Source organism: Homo sapiens, chromosome 2 (genome assembly GCF_000001405.40).
Source record: "Homo sapiens chromosome 2, GRCh38.p14 Primary Assembly".
Lineage (NCBI taxonomy): Eukaryota > Metazoa > Chordata > Mammalia > Primates > Hominidae > Homo > Homo sapiens.
The window spans coordinates 215,716,466-215,735,396 of record NC_000002.12 but is presented as its reverse complement, the minus strand read 5'-3'; the positions used below and the strand labels follow the sequence as shown (position 1 = coordinate 215,735,396).

The window sequence follows — 18,931 nt, the reverse complement described above, 5'->3', positions numbered from 1 at the left end:
ATTATTTTGTCTGTTTATTTTTAATCTAATCAGAGAGGCTCTGTGATTTAGTAGGTAGTTAGTTGTATTACTTTTTTATGATTATTTACATAAGGTATTTTATGATCTTTTCATTTTTTCTGAAAATGAAGTTATACTAATGTATAGGTGTAATTCTAAACGCTACTTAGACTATATTACATATTCGATCTTAAAACATATATTTTTCAAAGATAAATTGCTGGGACTTAATTAAACTAAAGAGCTTTTGCATGGCAAAAGGAACTGTCAGCAGAGTAAACAGAGAACCCACAGAATGAGAGAAAATTTTTACAATCTATACGTCTGACAAAGGACTAATATCCAGAATCTACAATGAACTCAAACAAATCAACAAGAAAAAAACAAACAATCCCATCAAAAAGTGGACTAAGGACACGAATAGACAATTCTTAAAAGAAGATAGACAAATGGCCAACAAACATAGGAAATAATGCTCAATATCACCAATGAACAGGGAAATGCAAATCAAAATCACAATGTGATATCACCTTACTCCTGCTAGAATGGCCATAATCAACAAATAAAAAATAGTAGATGTTGGCATGGATGCAGTGAACAGGGAACACTTCTACACTGCTGGTGGGAATGTAAACTAGTACAACCACTATGGAAAACAGTGTGGAGACTCCTTAAAGAACTAAAAGTAGAACTACCATTTTATCCAGCAATCTCACTACTGGGTATCTACCCAGAGGAAAAGAAGTCATTATATGAAAAAGATATTTGCACATGCATGTTTATAGCAGCACAATTTGCAATTGCAAAAATGTGGAACCAACCCAAATGCCCATCAATCAATGAGTGGAGAAAGAAACTGTGATACACACACACACACACACACACACACACACACACACACAAAATGGAATACTACTCAGCCATAAAAAGGAATGAATTAATAGCATTTGCAGCAATCTAGATGAGATTGGAGACTATTATTCTAAGTGAAGTAATTCAGGAATGAAAAACCAAACATCGTATGTTCTCACTCATAAGTGGGAATTAAGCTATGAGGATGCAAAGGCATAAGAATGACACAAGGACTTTGGGGACTCAGGGGGCAAGGGTGGGAAGGGGGTGAGGGATAAAATACTACAAATAGGGTACCGTGTACACTGCTCAGGTGATGGGTGCACCAAAATCTCACAAATCACCACTAAATAACTTACTCATGTAACCAAACACTACCTGTTCCCCAATAACCTATGGAAATATATATATGTGTATATATATATAAACAAAGAATAAGAAATACCAAACACAGGCCCTCATAAGATAAAAGGAAATTAAACTGAAGAAAGAATGGCAACAAAAGGACTATTAAACAAAAAAGCTGGTAAATATGTTCGGGCATGGTGGTGTGCGCCTATAGTCCCAGCTACTTTGGAAGCTGAGGCAGAAGGACTACTTTAACCCAGAAGTTCAAGGGCTTGTGTATATATATATATATATCTTATGTTTTTATTTCCTTTTCTCTCCTTTCTTTGAATTGATCAAATTTTTATGTTTTTAGTACTGATTTAGAAGTTTTACATTCTTTTGCAGTCTATTTTTTTTTTAGTGATTACCTGTACACTTTTGACACACATACTTGACTTACACAGTGTAAAGTGAATCCTTCTGAACAAGAAAAAGACCTTAGTACATCTTGACTGTAAGCAGTCATATTTTTCACACTGACATTTCAGCTGTACCTTATTTTTAAACTCTTCAAATGAAATATTAGAAGTTTTTACATTCAATGTTTATTTTTATTTACACTTTTTTTTTCAAGTGAGGTCTCACTCAATTGCCCAGGCTGGAGAGCTGGAGTGCAGTAACTCAATCATAGCTCACTGCAGCCTTGAACTTCTGGGCTAAAGTAGTCCTTCTGCCTCAGCTTCCAAAGTAGCTGGGACTATAGGCGCACACCACCATGCCCGAACATATTTACCACCTTTTTTGTTTAATAGTCCTTTTGTTGCTATTCTTTCTTCAATTTAATTTCCTTTTATCTTATGAGGGCCTGTGTTTGGTATTTCTTATTCTTTGTTGATTTCAATATCTATTTTTACTTTGCTTTCATTCTTGAATGACAACTTAGCTTGATAAAGGATTCTAGGTTGAAATTATACTTGAAGACATGATTTCATTTTCCTCTGGCCTCTGTTGTTGCTTTTGAGAAGTCTGCTGTAAGTCCAATTATTCCACTTTTTATTTTCCACTGATCTTAAGATACTCTCTTTTTGATGCTACACAGTTTTGCTTTGACGTATTTAAGTGCAGATTTATTTCTATTTTTCCCTTTCTGGCCTCTTTGCACACCCTCTTCGATGTGAGGATTTGTGTTAATTCCAGACATCAACTCTTTGAATTTTCTTTATTTTCTCTATAAACCTTTCTAGAAATCCTATTAAATAGATGTATCTTGGACCTTTCACTTGAAGGAAACTAAAATATTTCACCCGCCAAATATACTTCTTTTACATATTTCAAGATGGCTGTGCAGAAGACCTGGAAATATAAGAATAGCTGAAAAGCTGTCTTTTGTAGGGAGATTTGCTTCTGTAAAGAAAATCTGCATTGACAAAGCCAGGCTTTCTCTGAGGCTCTCCCTTGTCCAATTTAGGAAAAATTAACTGAGAGTTTGACACCGTTAAGGGCCTAAAGAAACACTTACTACCTATTCTCTCTGAGGGCTGCCACCTGTGAGGTTTCCTCTACATAAGGAGACCACCTTTACTAGCCAGGCTTCCTCTCTATTCCTCCCATAACCTGGTCTTGCCATCATAACCTGATTTACCATCAAAACGTGTTTTGGGCCATTCTCTGAGCCCCTGTTATTTCTGTAACTTCAAGATGGTATAAAAGCATCAAGCATCTTGCTTTTCAGATCTCTGTATGTCTCCTGTACATGCTAATACACTTGTATGCCTTTCTCCTATTAACCTGCCTTTTGGCAATGTTAAAGCTCTTTTAGAATTTGTCTAGCAGGCAAATAAATAAATAAAATAAAATAAATAATATGCCTTTTTCTAGTTGATTTTTCAGTAAAACTTCTAAAGGGAAGTTTTCTCTTGGCTCCTATGCACACCATCTTTCATCTTGCTTACTTTCCACCTTTTATGTTTTTTTACATTTAAAAAAGTCTCTCCATGCTACATTCAAAGTAATATGCCAGGATTTTTCTTCCAGTTAGCTAATTTTCTCTTCATCAGAGTCCAGTCTGTTATTTAACCAATCCATTAATTTTTCAGGTTTTATCTTTTATTTGCAGATTTCCATTTGGTTCTTTTAAAAATTGTGTGTGTTCTTTTGTCATAATGTCTTATTCTTTCATTATGAATTTTATTCCTTCTTTAATCTCTTTAGTCATTTTAATATTTCTTTCATACTAGCTTCCAGATAATATAAAATTATTTGAAACTGGACATGGTGGCATGTACCTGTACTCTCAGCTACTTGGGAGATGAGGTGGGACGATCTCTTGGGCTCAGGAAGTCAAGGCTGAAGTGGGCTATGGTCACACCACTGTACTTCCAGCCCTGGGTGGCAGAGTGAGACTCCATCTCTAAAAATATAATAAAAATAAAATAAATAAAATAATTTGGAAATGATATCTGCTTTTCTATGGCAGAGACCTTTGGATTCTGAGAGAGCTTTGGATCCTCACTCATGTTGGATCTTTACCTCATATACTATATAATTAAAAAAAAATTATAACCCGATCTTTAGCAAATTTTTTTCCTCTGTGGTAATCCCTGTGGTAATTCCTGTGGAATATCCTTCTAGAGATGTTTTGGATTTTCTTCTTCAAGGAGCCCTGGGCAACCAGCTCAGGAGCAACATCTATGTCAGTCTCAAACTGGGGAAATCCCATATCACAAGGAAAGTGCAAATTCAGCTTCCAAGCCTAGGATTGGCATGGCCATGGGGCTTCATTTTCTCGTGGGAAACTTTCCTTTCCCACCCTGCTCTTAGGGCTGAGGCAAGCCTCTTTGCTGTTTCCCTGGTGGGTAGGTGGACTTTGTCCAGTTCCTTTATACTGAGGTTGTAGCGCTGTAGGACTCTAGCTTGATCTAGAGGTCTCAGCCGCCACTGTCCTCTTTGCATGGCCCACTCTTGTATCTTGTCCTAGTGTAGATGGGAGGGCCTATTTCCCAGCATCATCTGAGCCCCTCTGCTTTTCCCACCCCAAGGCCACTGCTGCATCCATTTGGACATCCTCTGCCTTTCTGGAACCTGGTCATTTCCGTATTCTTGGAATTCTTCATTATTTCTCATGAGCTTAGCTGGGCATTTAAAAACAAATTCTTTTTTATCCTGTTTTACTCAGCATTTCTAGATATTTGTAGCTGAAGTCATTCTACTTTAGCTTGGCTGGACATGTTGACAGAACTCATTTTTTTCCTATGGAAAAATGCAACATATTGTACATACTATAGGTTTTTTATTTAACAGCTACATAAGTTGATATAGAGAGTTGAGATGTGTTTACACAGTGCTCAACTGTGTAATTAAGTAACTTACACAAAAAATATCTGCTTAATAGAATGTTTGGTACGAAAGACCTAAAGCCTTTTTTTAATTAGTCTTTTTCCTTTTAAGCTTTTAAAAACTTATTTGAAAAATATTCTGTATTCTGTGGACATATTTAAATTATCTCACTAGCATGTGACTATAGACTTCATGGAGAAAAATTCCTAGTGGTTAGATAACACTCATATTGCTATATATGGAGGGATAAGTAAATTGTTGAGTATGTAAAAAGTATCACATGGAAACACCGACTAACCAACAGGTATGTATTTTAAAATTCCCTCCACAAACAGATTCTAGAAGTTGCTACTGACCTCTTCAGAACAAAAAGGGTCAGGGAAAGGCTGGATAAGGAGAAAGACAAAATTCTCAACTGTATCACACTGGTATAGTGAGTCAGGACTAATCACAGGCAGAACACCCTCAGGTTAGGGGTTAGAATGGCTATTCCTCATCTTCTGGCTACTTGGTATTCATTCCACCTTCTTACTCTCTTTTTTTTTTTTTCTTTTTTAGACAGGGTCTTGCTCTGTTGCCCAGGGCTCAAGTGATCCTTTTGTCTCAGCCTCCCGAGTAGCTAAGACTATGGGCTTGTGTCACCACGCTCAGCTATTTTTTTTTTTTTTCTAGAGACAGGATATTGTTATGTTGCCCAGGCTGGTCTGGAATTCCTGTCCTCAAGGTATACTTTCACCTTGGCCTCCCAAATTGCTGGGATTACTGGCATGAGCCACTATGCCCAACCCATTCTACCCTCTTTGATAAAAGCACCAATTTCCTTTGAGGAAACCATTCTCCACGAACCTGTGTAGCTTCCGTGGGACTGTAATTGAAGGGGTGTGATTGTCTCTGGATAATTCCAGATTGGTCATTTTATCCTGGGAATTTGAAGCTTGAGCTGAGTGAAAAAGATCAGAAAAATGATCAAAGAGGCACTTCCTATCAGTTCTATCTGGATTCCAAGAGCTGCCCTCTTTTTCTGGGTTGGGGAGGCACAGATTTTTTTGAGCTCTATTTCCAGCTTTATCTTTTATTTAGTGGTCTAGAGGCCATTCCTTAATTTGGACTTTATGTTTTACGCACACACTATCTTTCTCTGATAATATTCATACAAGAATTTCTGTTTTAACTTAAGCCAGCCAGAATCAGTCTCTGTTCTTGGTCACCAAGCAGCCCTTGGGGTGCTTTTCTTTACACACAAAATATATTTCTGATGAAAATAGCTTTTGATAAATTGTCATTTTAAAACTCACTATTTAAGTGAAACCAATGGTGAAATAAGTATAAAACAATCACCTTTGTATGTCCATTTTGGAAATCAGTTATTTTCACATTTTAAGTTGTCTTCAAGTGAGTTTTACCTGAATTGTGCTTTTATTTATTTATTTATTTATTTGTTTGTTTGTTTGTTTGTTTTTATTTATTTATCGAGATGGAGCCTCACTCTGTCACCCAGGTTGGAGCGTAGGGGCGCAATCTCAGCTTACTGCAACCGCCACTTCCTGGGTTCAAGCAATTCTCATGCCTCAGCCTCTCGAGTAGCTGGGATTACAAAAAAGTACCATCATGCCCCATAAATTTTTGTATTTTTAGTAGAGATAGGGTTTCACCAAGTTGGCCAGGCTGGCCTCAGGTGATCCACTTGCTTTGGCCTCCCAGAGTGCGGGGATTACAGGTGTGAGCCTGGCCTGATTGTGCTTTTAATGAATATAGTTGATTATGCCGTGGCTGTGACATAACTTGACTTGGGGCCTCTCTAACCCTGCATAGTCAATTATGGTATGCATATGAGGCTCCACTGTGTATACAAAGCAAAGATATTATCTTATTATTAAGCTTGTATGGACAAGACTTAATAGGAGTTGTGTGCAGGCGGGTCAAGCACCTCTTGTGGCCACACATTTGCTGAGTGGAAACAGCAGATTTGGCTTAAGTTCCCTTTTTTGAACTTTCATAATTAAGAAAGGACTCTCAGTGTTTTATCATTTTGAAATTGCAATGTGTAATAGGAACTAATGAATCACTTTGCCATTATGAAAACCGAAGTAAAATTAGAATGTTGTTTTGCAAAAGCACATTGGCAGTTGTTCTGCTCAGAGTTGTGTAAGTTAATCTATGTGTGGCAGTTCCATGAGCCTTCAAATATATCTACACCCTGACTTCTGGCCTCTGTGGTTTGGATCAGCATGTTCTTCCTGTTGAAGTGCCCCCTCCACTGAGACTTTGCCTGCTCAAGTTCTACTCATCTCCTAAGGCCAAACCAAACATTACCTTCCCCTGAAACCTTGCTGAATTTCACCCAGCAGAATTAGTCATTCCATCATTTTATCCTTTCTTCATCCCATTGAAGATCCTATCGCCTCATCTAATAGATTGTGGCATGTTGGAGAAGTGGGAGAGGGCACTGGCTCAATGCTTTATGCAGACTCAATACCTGTAGTCAAATTAGCTTATCTCCTTAGGTACTGAACACCCTGCTCCCTCACTGAACAGAAAACCCCTTTAATACATTTCTCAGATGATCTAATACATGCAGCATTGTCAAGAGACCACAATTATTTGCAGAAGGACTTCAATAATGCACATGGGGGAAACCAACATATCCTCATTGCCTTGTTTATTTGTTTCAATTTAAATGCTATCAAATGCTTCACACTTTGAACACTCTGAATTGGGGAGATTCAGCAATGCTTTTTAGGGATAAATCCCTTCTACTGAGGAAAAAGAACTTCAATTTACCAATCAGATAGGAGAGAGATGTTTCATTAGTTTTCTTCTTTCCTGACCTAAAACCACATCTGTGCCAATTTGGAGTTAGCCATGCTCTTGCTCATCTCTGGGTAAATAGGAGTTTGAACAGTGGCCTTCATGAGTCCCTGTGGCTCACATGATCCAGTGTAGAGGCCACTCCTTAATTTGGACTGTAAGTTTTATGCACACACTATCTTTCTCTGGCCACCACTCTTTGTATTTCTGTCTGCTCAGAATGTTCTACCTTTAGTTCTTTGCCTAGCCAAATTCTGCTCATCCTTTGAGACCCTACTGCTACTCCACCACTAACTTTAAAAAAATACTTTGAGTGCCTTTTAGTAGCCAGGGAGACAAGGCAGATAAGAACCTGCATTGAAGAGTTTACATCCCAGTAAGGGAGACAGATAAGTAAAAATAAGTAAGATAATCACCAACTGTGGCAGATTTTCTGAAAGAAATGCACAGTGTAGTATGACAGCATGCCTGGGAGCAGGATTTTTTCAGGAAGGTTGTATTGAAAGGCCTCTCAGAGGAGGTGATATTGGAGGTTAGCCCCAAAAGGGAAGGTTTTTTGATCCTTCTAACTGTGTTCAGCACCCCTTCTTGGTGCTTTTATTATCTCTCTTGTTTCTTAACACATCACATTGTTAGCCACATCTATGTATTGCAGTGGTGCCTGGTGAATGTCTAACAAAAAGCCCAAATTTATAGTGTTTGCCAATTTCTGTGGTGTAAATACTCTCACTCTCACCATGGCTGATTTCAAGCTACTAACTTGATGTCAATGAAGTGGAATTGAGAAGAGATGCAGAGAATTGGCTCTTGGGAGCCAATGAGACCCAGCTTAAGCCAGCTTCAGCATGTCACTGTGCCTGTCTCTCCCACCAGGCTGTTTACTCTCTTTGAGGTAGTAGTAAATATTTAACGAATCAATGAATTTACCCATGTACAGGTACCTACTCAATCTAAATCCATTGTTTTTAGTGTTATTATTATTAACCATAGACTCCAAAGATGACACATGAATGGGAGTAAGAGTTATGTAACTATTGTATGTGCTTTTTTGAAATTCAATGATAAAAATATTTATGAAGCCATCAGCATTCTTTACAATATTGGTTCTTCTCATCAAAGGTTTGAACAAATTAGGAAAGGAAAGAAGAAAGATTTATCTTTATAAGTATACCACATACATCAGTATCAAGGCAAATAATATGTTGGAAAATAAAAATAAATTTAGAAAGGTTATACATTCTACTCAGACAAAGGAAATCAAAAGCTGTATTTCAGACCTTGTAATGAGCAAAAAAATTTGGCTGTAACCTAACCATCATTGTTTCTCAACAAAATGTGGGGGACATGATTTTATTTTCTGGGCATACCTTAATATGCTTTATGTAGAACCTAAAACATATCCTTATACATAAAACACATGAAAACATAAGCTAGTGAGTTTTTATGATTCTTTATCTTAGTGGTTATTTCCATAGACTTTGACACAGAAAAATGGTAGAGGAAAGACTTTTAAAAATACATATCTAAGAAAGATTCAAAATGTTTAAAACCAGAATGATTTATAAATGATTCCCCAGACTGATCTAAACACATTAGAATGTTCTCTGGGTATTTGACACGGTTGAAGCTACCCCTTCCCTCCATTTCTAGTATAGATGGCTTGCATCATGCACTCCTCGTTAGCTGAAATTTTATACTTAAAAAGCATAGGAGATTAAAGAGCTTCAACCTTTTTGTTATTCTTCCCATTGAGAGTTGAATTCAGTGGTTACACATGAATAAAAACTGGAGCAGAGAGACATTTTTCCTTCCCTTCCTTCCTTCCTTCCTTCCTTCCCTCCTCCCTCCCTCCCTCTCTGCCTTCCTTCCCTCCCTCCCTCTCTCTCTACCTTCCTTCCCTCCCTCCCTCCCCTCTCCCTGTCCCCACCTTTCTTTCTTTTCTTTTTTTTGCTTTTTTTTTTTTTCTTCATTCTTGTGGTAGAATGAATAAATGGCCCTGAGGATGTTTATGTCCTAATGCCTGGAACCTGCAAATATGTTACCTTCCAAAGTAAAAAGGATTTTGTAGATGTGATTAAACTAAAGGTCTTGAGATGTGGAGATTATCTTGCGTTATCAGGTGGACTAATGTAATCATAGGATTCTCATAAGAGCAGGCAAGAGGGTCAGAAGATAGGGAGAAGATGTAAGAACAGAGGCAGAGGTCAGAGAGGAGAAAAGATACTACACTGCTGGTTTTGAAGTTGGAGGAAGGGGCCAGGGGAATGTGTGCAGCACCTTGTAAACTTAACAAGGTGAAGAAATAGGTTCTCCCCTGGAGTCTCCAAGAAGAAGAAATGCAGCCTTATATATAGATTTTGGAATTCTGACCTCTAGGACTGTATATAATAAATGCGTGTTGTTTTAAGGCACTAATGTTGTGGAAATATGTTAAAGCAGCAATAGGAACAATCTCATCAAAAAGTGGGCTAAGGACATGAATAGACAGTTCTCAAAATGTCCAACAAACATGAAAAAATGCTCAACATCACTAATGATCAGGGAAAAGCAAATTAAAACCACAATGAGATACCACCTTACTCCTGCAAGAATGACCATAATAAAAAAATCAAAAAACAGTAGATGTTGGCATGGATGCAGCTATCAGGGAACATTTCTACACTGCTGTGGGGAATGCAAACTAGTGCAGCCGCTATGGAAAACAGGGTGGAGATCTTTTAAAGAACTAAAAGTAGAACTCCCATTTGATCCAGCAATCCCACTACTGGGTGTCTACCCAGAGGAAAAGAAGTCATGATTTGAAAAAGATACTTGCACATATGTGTTTATAGCAGCACAATTCACAATTGCAAAATGGTTACTAACCCAGATGCCCATCAGTCAACAAGTGGAGAAAGAAACTATGGCATATATATACAATGGAATACTACACAGCCATAACAAGGAATGAATTAACAGTATTTGCAATGACCTGGATGAGATTGGAGACTATTATTCTAAGTAAAGTATCGCAGGAATGGAAAACCAAACATTGTATGTTCTCACTGATATGTGGAGCTAAGCTATGAGGACACAAAGGCGTAAGAATGATACGATGGACTTTGGGAACTTGGGGGGAAGAGTGGGAGAGGGGCTAAAAGGGATAAAAGACAACATATATGGTGCAGTATATACTGCTCGGGCGATGGGTGCACCAGGATCTCACTAATGACCACTAAAGAACTTACTCATGTAACCAAATACCACTTGTGCCCTAATAACTTATGGAAAAAAAATAAAGCAGCAATAAGAAAAGAATGCGCTTTCTTCCTATTTTTTTTTTTTTTCTATTTTTTTAAGAGGTAGTAGAGCAGGGTTGTCCAATCTTTAGGCTTTTCTGGGCTACACTAGAAGAAGAAGAATTGTCTTGGGCCACACATAAAATACACTAACACTAATGATAGCTAATAAGCTAAAATTTAAAAATCACACACACAAAAATCTCATGTTTTAAGAAAGTGCTAATTTTAGCAAATTTTGGAAAGCTTCTCAAAGTAGAAGAGAAAGGAAGAGGTGTTAATAATTCTACTACTCTTCTAGGCTCCATTACAGGTAATATTTGACATATTTCTATCTAGATTATTCTATTTTTAAAGAAATGGCTGAGGTAATATTGTGGATATAGTTTCACATCCTGTTTTTTTTTTTTTCACATAAGTAAGTGTATATATATCACAAGAATTTTCCAAAAACACCATAATGTGGCAATGACTAATGTTGGGTATTCAGCAGTTTTAAATTCTTTTTTGTTTGTTTGTTTTTGTTTTTTGGAGACAGAGTTTTGCTCTTGTTGCCCAGGCTGGAGTGCAATGGCACAATCTCGGCTCATCGCAACCTCTGCATCCCGGGTTCAAGCGATTCTCCTGTCTCAGCCTCCCCGAGTGGCTTGGATTACAGGCACGCACCACCACGTCTGGCTCGTTTTGTATTTTTAATAGAGATGGGGTTTCTTCATGTTGGTCAGGTTGGTCTCGATCTCCCAACCTCAGGTGATCCACCCGCCTTGGCCTCCCAAAGTGCTGGGATTACAGGCCTGAGCCATCGCGCCCTGCCAGTTTTAAATTCTTATCATAAATAATAATGAAATGCATATTTTTGCATAATTCTTTGTGTATACTGTGGTAAAATATGCAACATAAAATTTAGCATTGTAACCATTTGAAGCCATTCAATTCCATGGCATTAAGTATATTCACAGTGTTATGCAACTATCACCACTGTCTAGTTCCGGAACTGTGCATAAATCTGCCTGAATTTCACACCATTTCTGCATAATAAATTCATAGAGAGTAGAGTATTGCATTAAAAGAAAACATAAATATTTTAAAGTACATCCAGAAAGGTGGTACTCATTTGCTTTTCTGCATATAAGAATATTGGTTATAACATTCTAGTTAGTCCTTATTTACACTATCATTCAAAATACCTTTGCTAATTTATGAGTAAAAAAATAAGATCTTATCTTTTATTTTGTTTGCATTTGATTATTATGAGGCTGAATATTTTCTAGTATGTTAATTAACTATTTTATTTTACCATGAGAAATGTCCGTATGCCATGAGAAGGGTCATGAGAAGGTGAAATCACAACTCTGCTCTCTGCCCCACCTTCCTGATTCAACTAGAGGACTCTATTCTTACCTGCTTTTTATCTTAGTTTCTGTGAAGGATTTTATTGGAAGAAAGGATCCCTTGGCTAATGTTTGAAAACGACAAATCTGGACTCATGGTTTTCAAATATTTGTGTGTATAAGTAATACCTGAGAAATGTGTTAAAAATACAGATTTCCTAAGACCTATCTCAGAAGTCTCAGAAGCCAGGGGATTTGCATGTTAATCTGGTGCTAGGTTATCTCTTGCAGACTGTCCAAAACCCACATTTTGAGAAATGCTGGCTTATCTTGTTTCCCATAAACTAGGACTCACAAGATGATTCTAAATCTAAGATGATCTTGAGTGGGGTTTAATAAAACCAATGTGGTGTTAACTAAAATGGAATCACACAAGATGAGAGATTTTCTTTTGCCTTCTCTTTCAGTCCTTCTGAATAGATTAAGAGAAGTCTCAATTTGATGTGAGTGCATCTTTAACGTAGCACATATTAACCACCCTTTTAAAAAAAACAGAAACAGGCCTTAGGCTCAGAGCTTTTAGCAGGCAATAGTATCCGCTTAAATTTTAATGGCATTATTTTTTATTCAGTTTATTTGTATGGTTACCTTTTAATTATGAAAAGTTATATTAGAATTTTAATTATAGTAGTGATATTAAGGTATTATATTAGGAAATAACAGTAGAAGTATTATGGGTAAAAATAGTGAAGGTTGTAATCAAATGAATCATATCTATGAATTACTGGTTTGGAACATGAGCTGCTGTACAGAAAGAGCAGATCTAAATCCAGACCTGGGTTGGGGGTGGTTTGGAAGATCCTTTGAAAGGGGACAGAAGTGGAGGTGGCTAAGGAGCTTTGGAAACAGCATTGGACGCTATGTTCTCGGTGAAGGGACAAAGAGGGACACTTCTTCATAATTTTTACCTTGTGGCTCGTACTGCCAGCCGCTTTAACAGGGGTGATGCACTTTGCTGTTTGCTTCTGCAGATGATTCAGGTTAAAACAGAAGAACTTAAGTCTACCTTCAGTGACACATACGTGATTCTTTGCAGGACTGAAGAGTACTAGGCCTTGCCAGCTGGCAGCCCAGGATTTAGCAGAAGGTTAAAGATGCTGCCGTGAAAAGTTACAGATACTTTCCCTTAGCCTCTTCTCTAACGCCATGGAAGAAAAAAAAAATCACTGACTCACTATGCCATGTAAGGCATAAGGAAGACTCTAAGAGAGTTTGTAATGGAGTCCCTTTTAAAGCATGGTAAAAACTGAATTATTATTGACTAAGAAAGTTTCAGGCAAAAATAAAATCCAAATATTATGGATTTGAAAAAGCTGATTCTATTATTTTTTAATTTTTATTTTAAAACATTTTTATTTTACTTTAAGTTCTGGGATACATGTGCGGAACATGCAGGTTTGTTACATAGGTACACATGTGCCATGTCATTTGCTGCACCTATCAACCCGTCATCTAGGTTTTAAGCCCTGCATGCATTAGATATTTGCCCTGATGCTCTCCCTCCCCCGACTCCCTGACAGGCCCCATTGTGTGATGTTCCTCTCCATGTTTCCATGTGTTCTCATTGTTCAACTCCCACTTATGAGTGAGAACATGCAGTGTTTGCTTTTCTGTTCCTGTGTTAGTTTGCTAAGAATGATAGCTTCTGGCTTCATCCATGTCCCTGCAAAGGACATGAACTCATTCTTTTTTATGGCTGCATAGTATTCCATGGTCTGTATGTGCCACATTTTCTTTATCCAATCTATCATTGATGGGCATTTTTAGGTTGGTTCCAAGTCTTTGCTATTGTGTGTGTGTGTGTGTGTGTGTGTATATATATAGATCATATATATATGATCTATATATATATATGATCTATATATATATATATATGATGATCTATATATATATACACACACACACACACACACACAATAGCAAAGACTTGGAACCAACCTAAAAATGCCCACTCTTGTTGCCCAGGCTGGAGTGCAATGGTGTGATCTGCAACCTCTGCCTCCCAGGTTCAAGCAATTCTCCTGCCTCAGCCTCCCGAGTAGCTGGGATTAGAGGCATGTGCCACCACGCGTGGCTAATTTTGTATTTTTAGTAGAGACAGGGTTTCACCATGTTGGTCAGGCTGGTCTCGAACTCCTGACCTCAGGTGATCCACCCGCTTTGTCCTCTCAAAGTGTTGGGATTACAGATGTGAGCCACGGTGCCCAGCCAAAGAAGCTGATTCTAAACCAACAACCATGGTGTTTTCCAATAGACTGTTTAGTATTCATATAAGAAGCATTATTTACAATGCTAACAATTTTCTTTTCACAATAATCATTTATCTAACTGGCTGTAAGATAGGGTAAACTATAGTTTACCCTATTATCTGATTTACCGAACAGATCTTGGTTTTTAAAATGTTAAATCATGTTTTTGGAATAAAAATGGTAAATGAAGAATGCTTGTCACCACATGTTAGTAATGGAAGTATTCTATTATTTTTAATTTTATGTATGTACAGACAAGAGCTATATGGGAAAGTAGCTATTACAGACCCATTATAGTTTCATCATTTATAACCAGGGTTGGTAGTAAAGCAACAGAAATACATCTTCAATGCAGACTTGCTCCCAGCATCTCTTTCCTTTCATCCTTGACCATATTGCATCCTGGACAGGAAGAAGACATCCTCAGCCCACCACCCCTTCCCCTCCAATGTGGACTGAGTGTTGGGTCAACTGATAAGCAGTGCAGACTCTTCATTTTGCTTTGTTGGTGCCTTGGAGGCATGTGAGGGCACAGCCTCAAATTCCAGAGACCTTGCCTTCAGGATTTGAGGTGGGCAAAGATGTGAAAGAAGACCTTTAGCCACTCAGTGTTATCAAAAGCAATCACCAAAGAAGTTTTTGCATCTGGCATTGTGTTGGGACGTCCATCAGCAGTACCGTACGGTCTCTTTACTGGACAAGTATTTACACCTTGTTAACAGCAGTGTACACCCGGTGGAAAACTCCTATTCATGGCATGGCAGAATTGTAAACATTTCCTCCTTCACCAAATTTGTGGATGGAATAAAATGTAGCCTTAAACTTTATTGGCTTCTCCAGTCTTCCACCTGCAGGGCCCAAAAACTTTCAGAAGTAGGAATCCTGTGGCATCTGCTAATGGTGATTGGAAGAAAGAGTAGAGGTGACAGTATCTATGGGTGCAGTACCAGAACTATTACGAAATGCTTCCAGCTGCGATTTCAGAGGAATCCCCCCTGAACCCCTGGACGTGGTTCTCCTATTTCAGTCACACTTCTAGCTATGACTCTGCTTAGACAAGATGAAGTTGATGGATCCATTAGAAAGTTTCCACTGAACTTGTCTGGTCCAATTTCTCTTTCCTCAAGGGCATGGACACAGCTTTGGTTCTCCTTCCTGAACTTACTTGTCTGCTGCTCCCATTCTTCCCATTAGGGCATAGAAGATTACCTAGCAGGTGAAGGCACCCTACACTCTTTGGTTTTTAATAGGAGAAACCCTCCAGTCAGAGATAAATCTTACTTGGAGTCTAGGTAGCTATAAGTCTGAAGTGTCAGTACGACATTTCAGCACTTTCAGTAGGAGCTCCCAAGGGCCAAATAAATCACAGAACCAGCCTTTGAGATATTGACTTTGGCTTGAAATAGAATGTGAGGTGGTGATTCTGCTCTATTATACCAGAGGCCAAGTTTTTTCTGAAGTAGCCATAGCCAGGTGAGGGTGGCCTTCTGGAGGAGTAAGGTTTGAGAGAACTATGTTGGAAGTCATTAAGAGAAAGAGCCTATTCCCCAGCTGCTTCCTGCTCAGAAGCAAGGGCCCTGGTGGTTGGTACAAGATAAAGCTAAGCATGAAGGCTCTTCTCTTGATAATCTAGATCGCCCCAAAACAACTGAGTCTATAAAGAACCCAGATTATGTCATGTGCCAATCTGTCACACACCGGAATGTATATCTCATGATTCAATAATTTCTGTTGTGTATACAATTGTGATGTGCATGTCAATTCCCATCTTTCTTAGGTAATGTGCGATAGTTCAGTCTTCATTGTCCTTGGAGAATAAGATGCATCATGTAAGGTGGCAGTCTGCTAAGATTGCTACTTTAAGGAAGAGGTGCTGTTGCAAAAGAAACGTTGAAGTTAAAAACAACTAATGATCAATTGATTGGGCTTGGACACAGACCCTAGCACTTGAGTACCTTACACTTTTTAACTTGCACTCCAGCTTTGATCAAGCTTTTCCTGTCATTGTATAGCCAGGAAATCATAATTCTCTTGGCTTCGCTCTTGGTTGACATTTGGGAAATGGCTGCCCTTTAGAACTTGGCTCTGATCTCTTCGGTATTTGCCTGATGTCTTGAGACTCCATTCTTCTGAGCTCCTGGTGTCTTAGATTCTCCCTGAAGTTAAGAACACTATCAATCCTCCAAACCTCCAATCCTCTTATACTATGACAACTCATAATGTACTAAATTCAAATGAAAATCTTAGGCAAGTCCCTTTAGGGTCTCCTACTCTTCATATGAAACTGCATTTTTATCAGTATAACAAATATAATTTTCAAAAGTCACATAAATTCTACTAGTTTGAAAGTAAAAGGGGTACAAATGCTTTGCATCATGTTTCTAGGGTTTCTTAGGAATTTTATATGAAAAGCACTTTTTACTTCCTGGCCAGCCAAGAACTCCAACTGATTTCAGCTGCTGCTATTTGGTGTGTGAAAAAAAAAAAAAAAAAAACAATTTTCCAAAGAATTTTGTTATCGGTAATGCTATGCAACCTGGCATAACACACTTGACAATATCAAAAGAGATGCTATCATATAAATGTAACAGGGAGCAGAATGCAGTTCTGTTTCATGATTTGGCCAGAAAAAAAACAAATTACCTTGAGTGACCCAAGGCAACCTGACTTCATTAGACCCCCGGCCCTTGTACACATTACAATTCTGCCCCAGTAAGGAGATTACAAAAGAAAGGTTTTCATGGCTCTCAAAAAGGAGATCCTCTCCTTTTCAATTACATCTGATTTATGAACTGTTAAAACTATTTCCCAAAGTCTGCCTTCACAGCCTCTCACTTGTCTGATAAACACTGCACAAAAATTCTGCTGGTTTGCAAAATATGACTCTTACGTGTCTGAAGTCCCCTTTCGGATCCTGGGAGGAAGGAACATTGAAGTCTCCAAAGAGCTGCTGGTGACAAATGTCTACTGCATTTCCTGATGGCAGAGAACAAAAGTGAGACGTGAAAGAGAAAACATACACGCAGTGGAATCCTCTCTCCTTCAGCTCCTTTGGAGCGAAGTGCTGAGCTATCTGATTTTTATACCTCTACCCCCTCAGCCCTTTTCCCTCTCAGACTGTGGTCTGTTCTCCACAAATATGTCCTTTTTGGTCTCAAACCAGATGGAATTATAGAAAACAAACTGTAAGTTCCCAGGCCCACAACTTTCTCACAGCCTGGAAGGGAGTGAGTGACAGGACGTGGATTACCCTCTCCTCCCCAGCCACCTCCACCTTCTTTTCAAAAGCGAATTCTTTAAAAAATATAGAGAGAGCATAACTCAGCCGTCATTTGGCAATGGGTGAGCATGGTTATCTTTCAAAATAATAATGACGCCAAACTTTATAGAAAAAGGAAACCGTTCTCTTTGTTCCAAAAACCCTACGATGTAGATGAATATCTCTTAAGGCATAAATACAAGGACATTTTTAGAACTGGCCCACTTGCTAGTCTAGACTTATAGGAAAGCATCATAAAACTGTTATTTTTCAATAGGTCAAATTCTCTTCCAATGCAACTCTATCTGCCCCAGAACTGAAAAGAATCCCAGTTTTAGAAAGAATTTGGCAGCACTAGGCCAGTTCTTTCCTTATTCATCTGCTATAGATCTTGATCCACATCATATTAACAAGAGTTTTGAAGGTTTTTCTGTGTGCTTTATTTTTTAACAAGGGAAGCGTCTTCCACCTGAGCTCCTCAAGATGATTTCTCAGACTCTACTGAGTGTGAGGTGGTCTGAGTGTTTGGCTGGAAGGCAGGTTTGCTCCTCCTGGACCTAATGTCTTGGTCTTATGAGAGAATTTTGTGGGCCCCTTTGCCTCCTGCTCAAGGCACCAGTGAATATCATTTGCAGAATTAGGGTGTTGGCTCAAAAGAGACATAGTGTATTATCCCATAGAAAGTATGAGAGCATCTGGGAATTATGAGGGCGTTTATGAGTAACATCTCTGGTAGACACATGAGATCAGCCTTCTTCCCGCTCACCACCACCGAAGATCTGGGGGCGGATGGGCAGAGGTGAGGTGGTGTGGCATGGCAGCTGGAACACAAGTGGAAATAGTCAACTTGGCCATACTAAAACCCTATTTGCCATCTATGTGTGACGCCATTCCAGCATTTGGTGTCCAAGGACACCTAGTCCTGGCCTCGCTTGCCTTCCTATTTTTAAGGGGGAAAGACTTCATCTACTTATTTAAGCAAAATGAAAAAAAAACTTGAATATCAAGTAATTGTTGAGAAAGCAACACAGTGATAAAATTTTAAAATATACAAATCAAGACTATATGGCATCAATTTTGCTAGAATGACCCATGAACTTTAAATATCAAGGAGCAACATCTTGGACATTGGGCATTAGTTTTACTATGATATCTTTCAATTCAGAAGAGGACAAAGTTTTTACGTAGTTCCCTGCATCAGTGATGGGAGTGTTGAGTTTTCATGTTTTTTGAAAAAAGTGGAAGTTAAATTACTTCTTTTGACTGTCCAAGGTGGTGCATTTTATGGAAGAAGAAGAAGGCCCTGTGCTGGGAGCCTTACATTTTGCTATGGCCTCTATCAGTAGCTGAGAGTGGTGATATGGAACTCCCCTGCCTGTCTGGGCCTCAGTCATTCTTTCTGCAAGGAAAGACTAATGGGGTTGACAT

At 38.5% G+C, this 18,931-nt stretch overlaps 2 long non-coding RNA genes and 1 pseudogene across 2 annotated transcripts in view; 2 read left to right on the top strand and 1 right to left on the bottom strand.

The window, feature by feature from the left end:
- Positions 1 to 18,931, top strand: part of LINC00607 (long intergenic non-protein coding RNA 607) — a 231,974-nt gene that overhangs the window by 108,140 nt on the left and 104,903 nt on the right. The window lies entirely within an intron of this gene.
- On the top strand, positions 2,982 to 3,054 carry LOC124906139 (uncharacterized; annotated as a pseudogene).
- LINC01614 (long intergenic non-protein coding RNA 1614) lies at positions 14,451 to 17,354 on the bottom strand. The gene is made up of 2 exons (NR_132383.1): positions 17,135 to 17,354; positions 14,451 to 16,400 (listed from the first exon to the last, which is right to left on the bottom strand). It is a non-coding gene; the product is annotated as a long intergenic non-protein coding RNA 1614 (long non-coding RNA).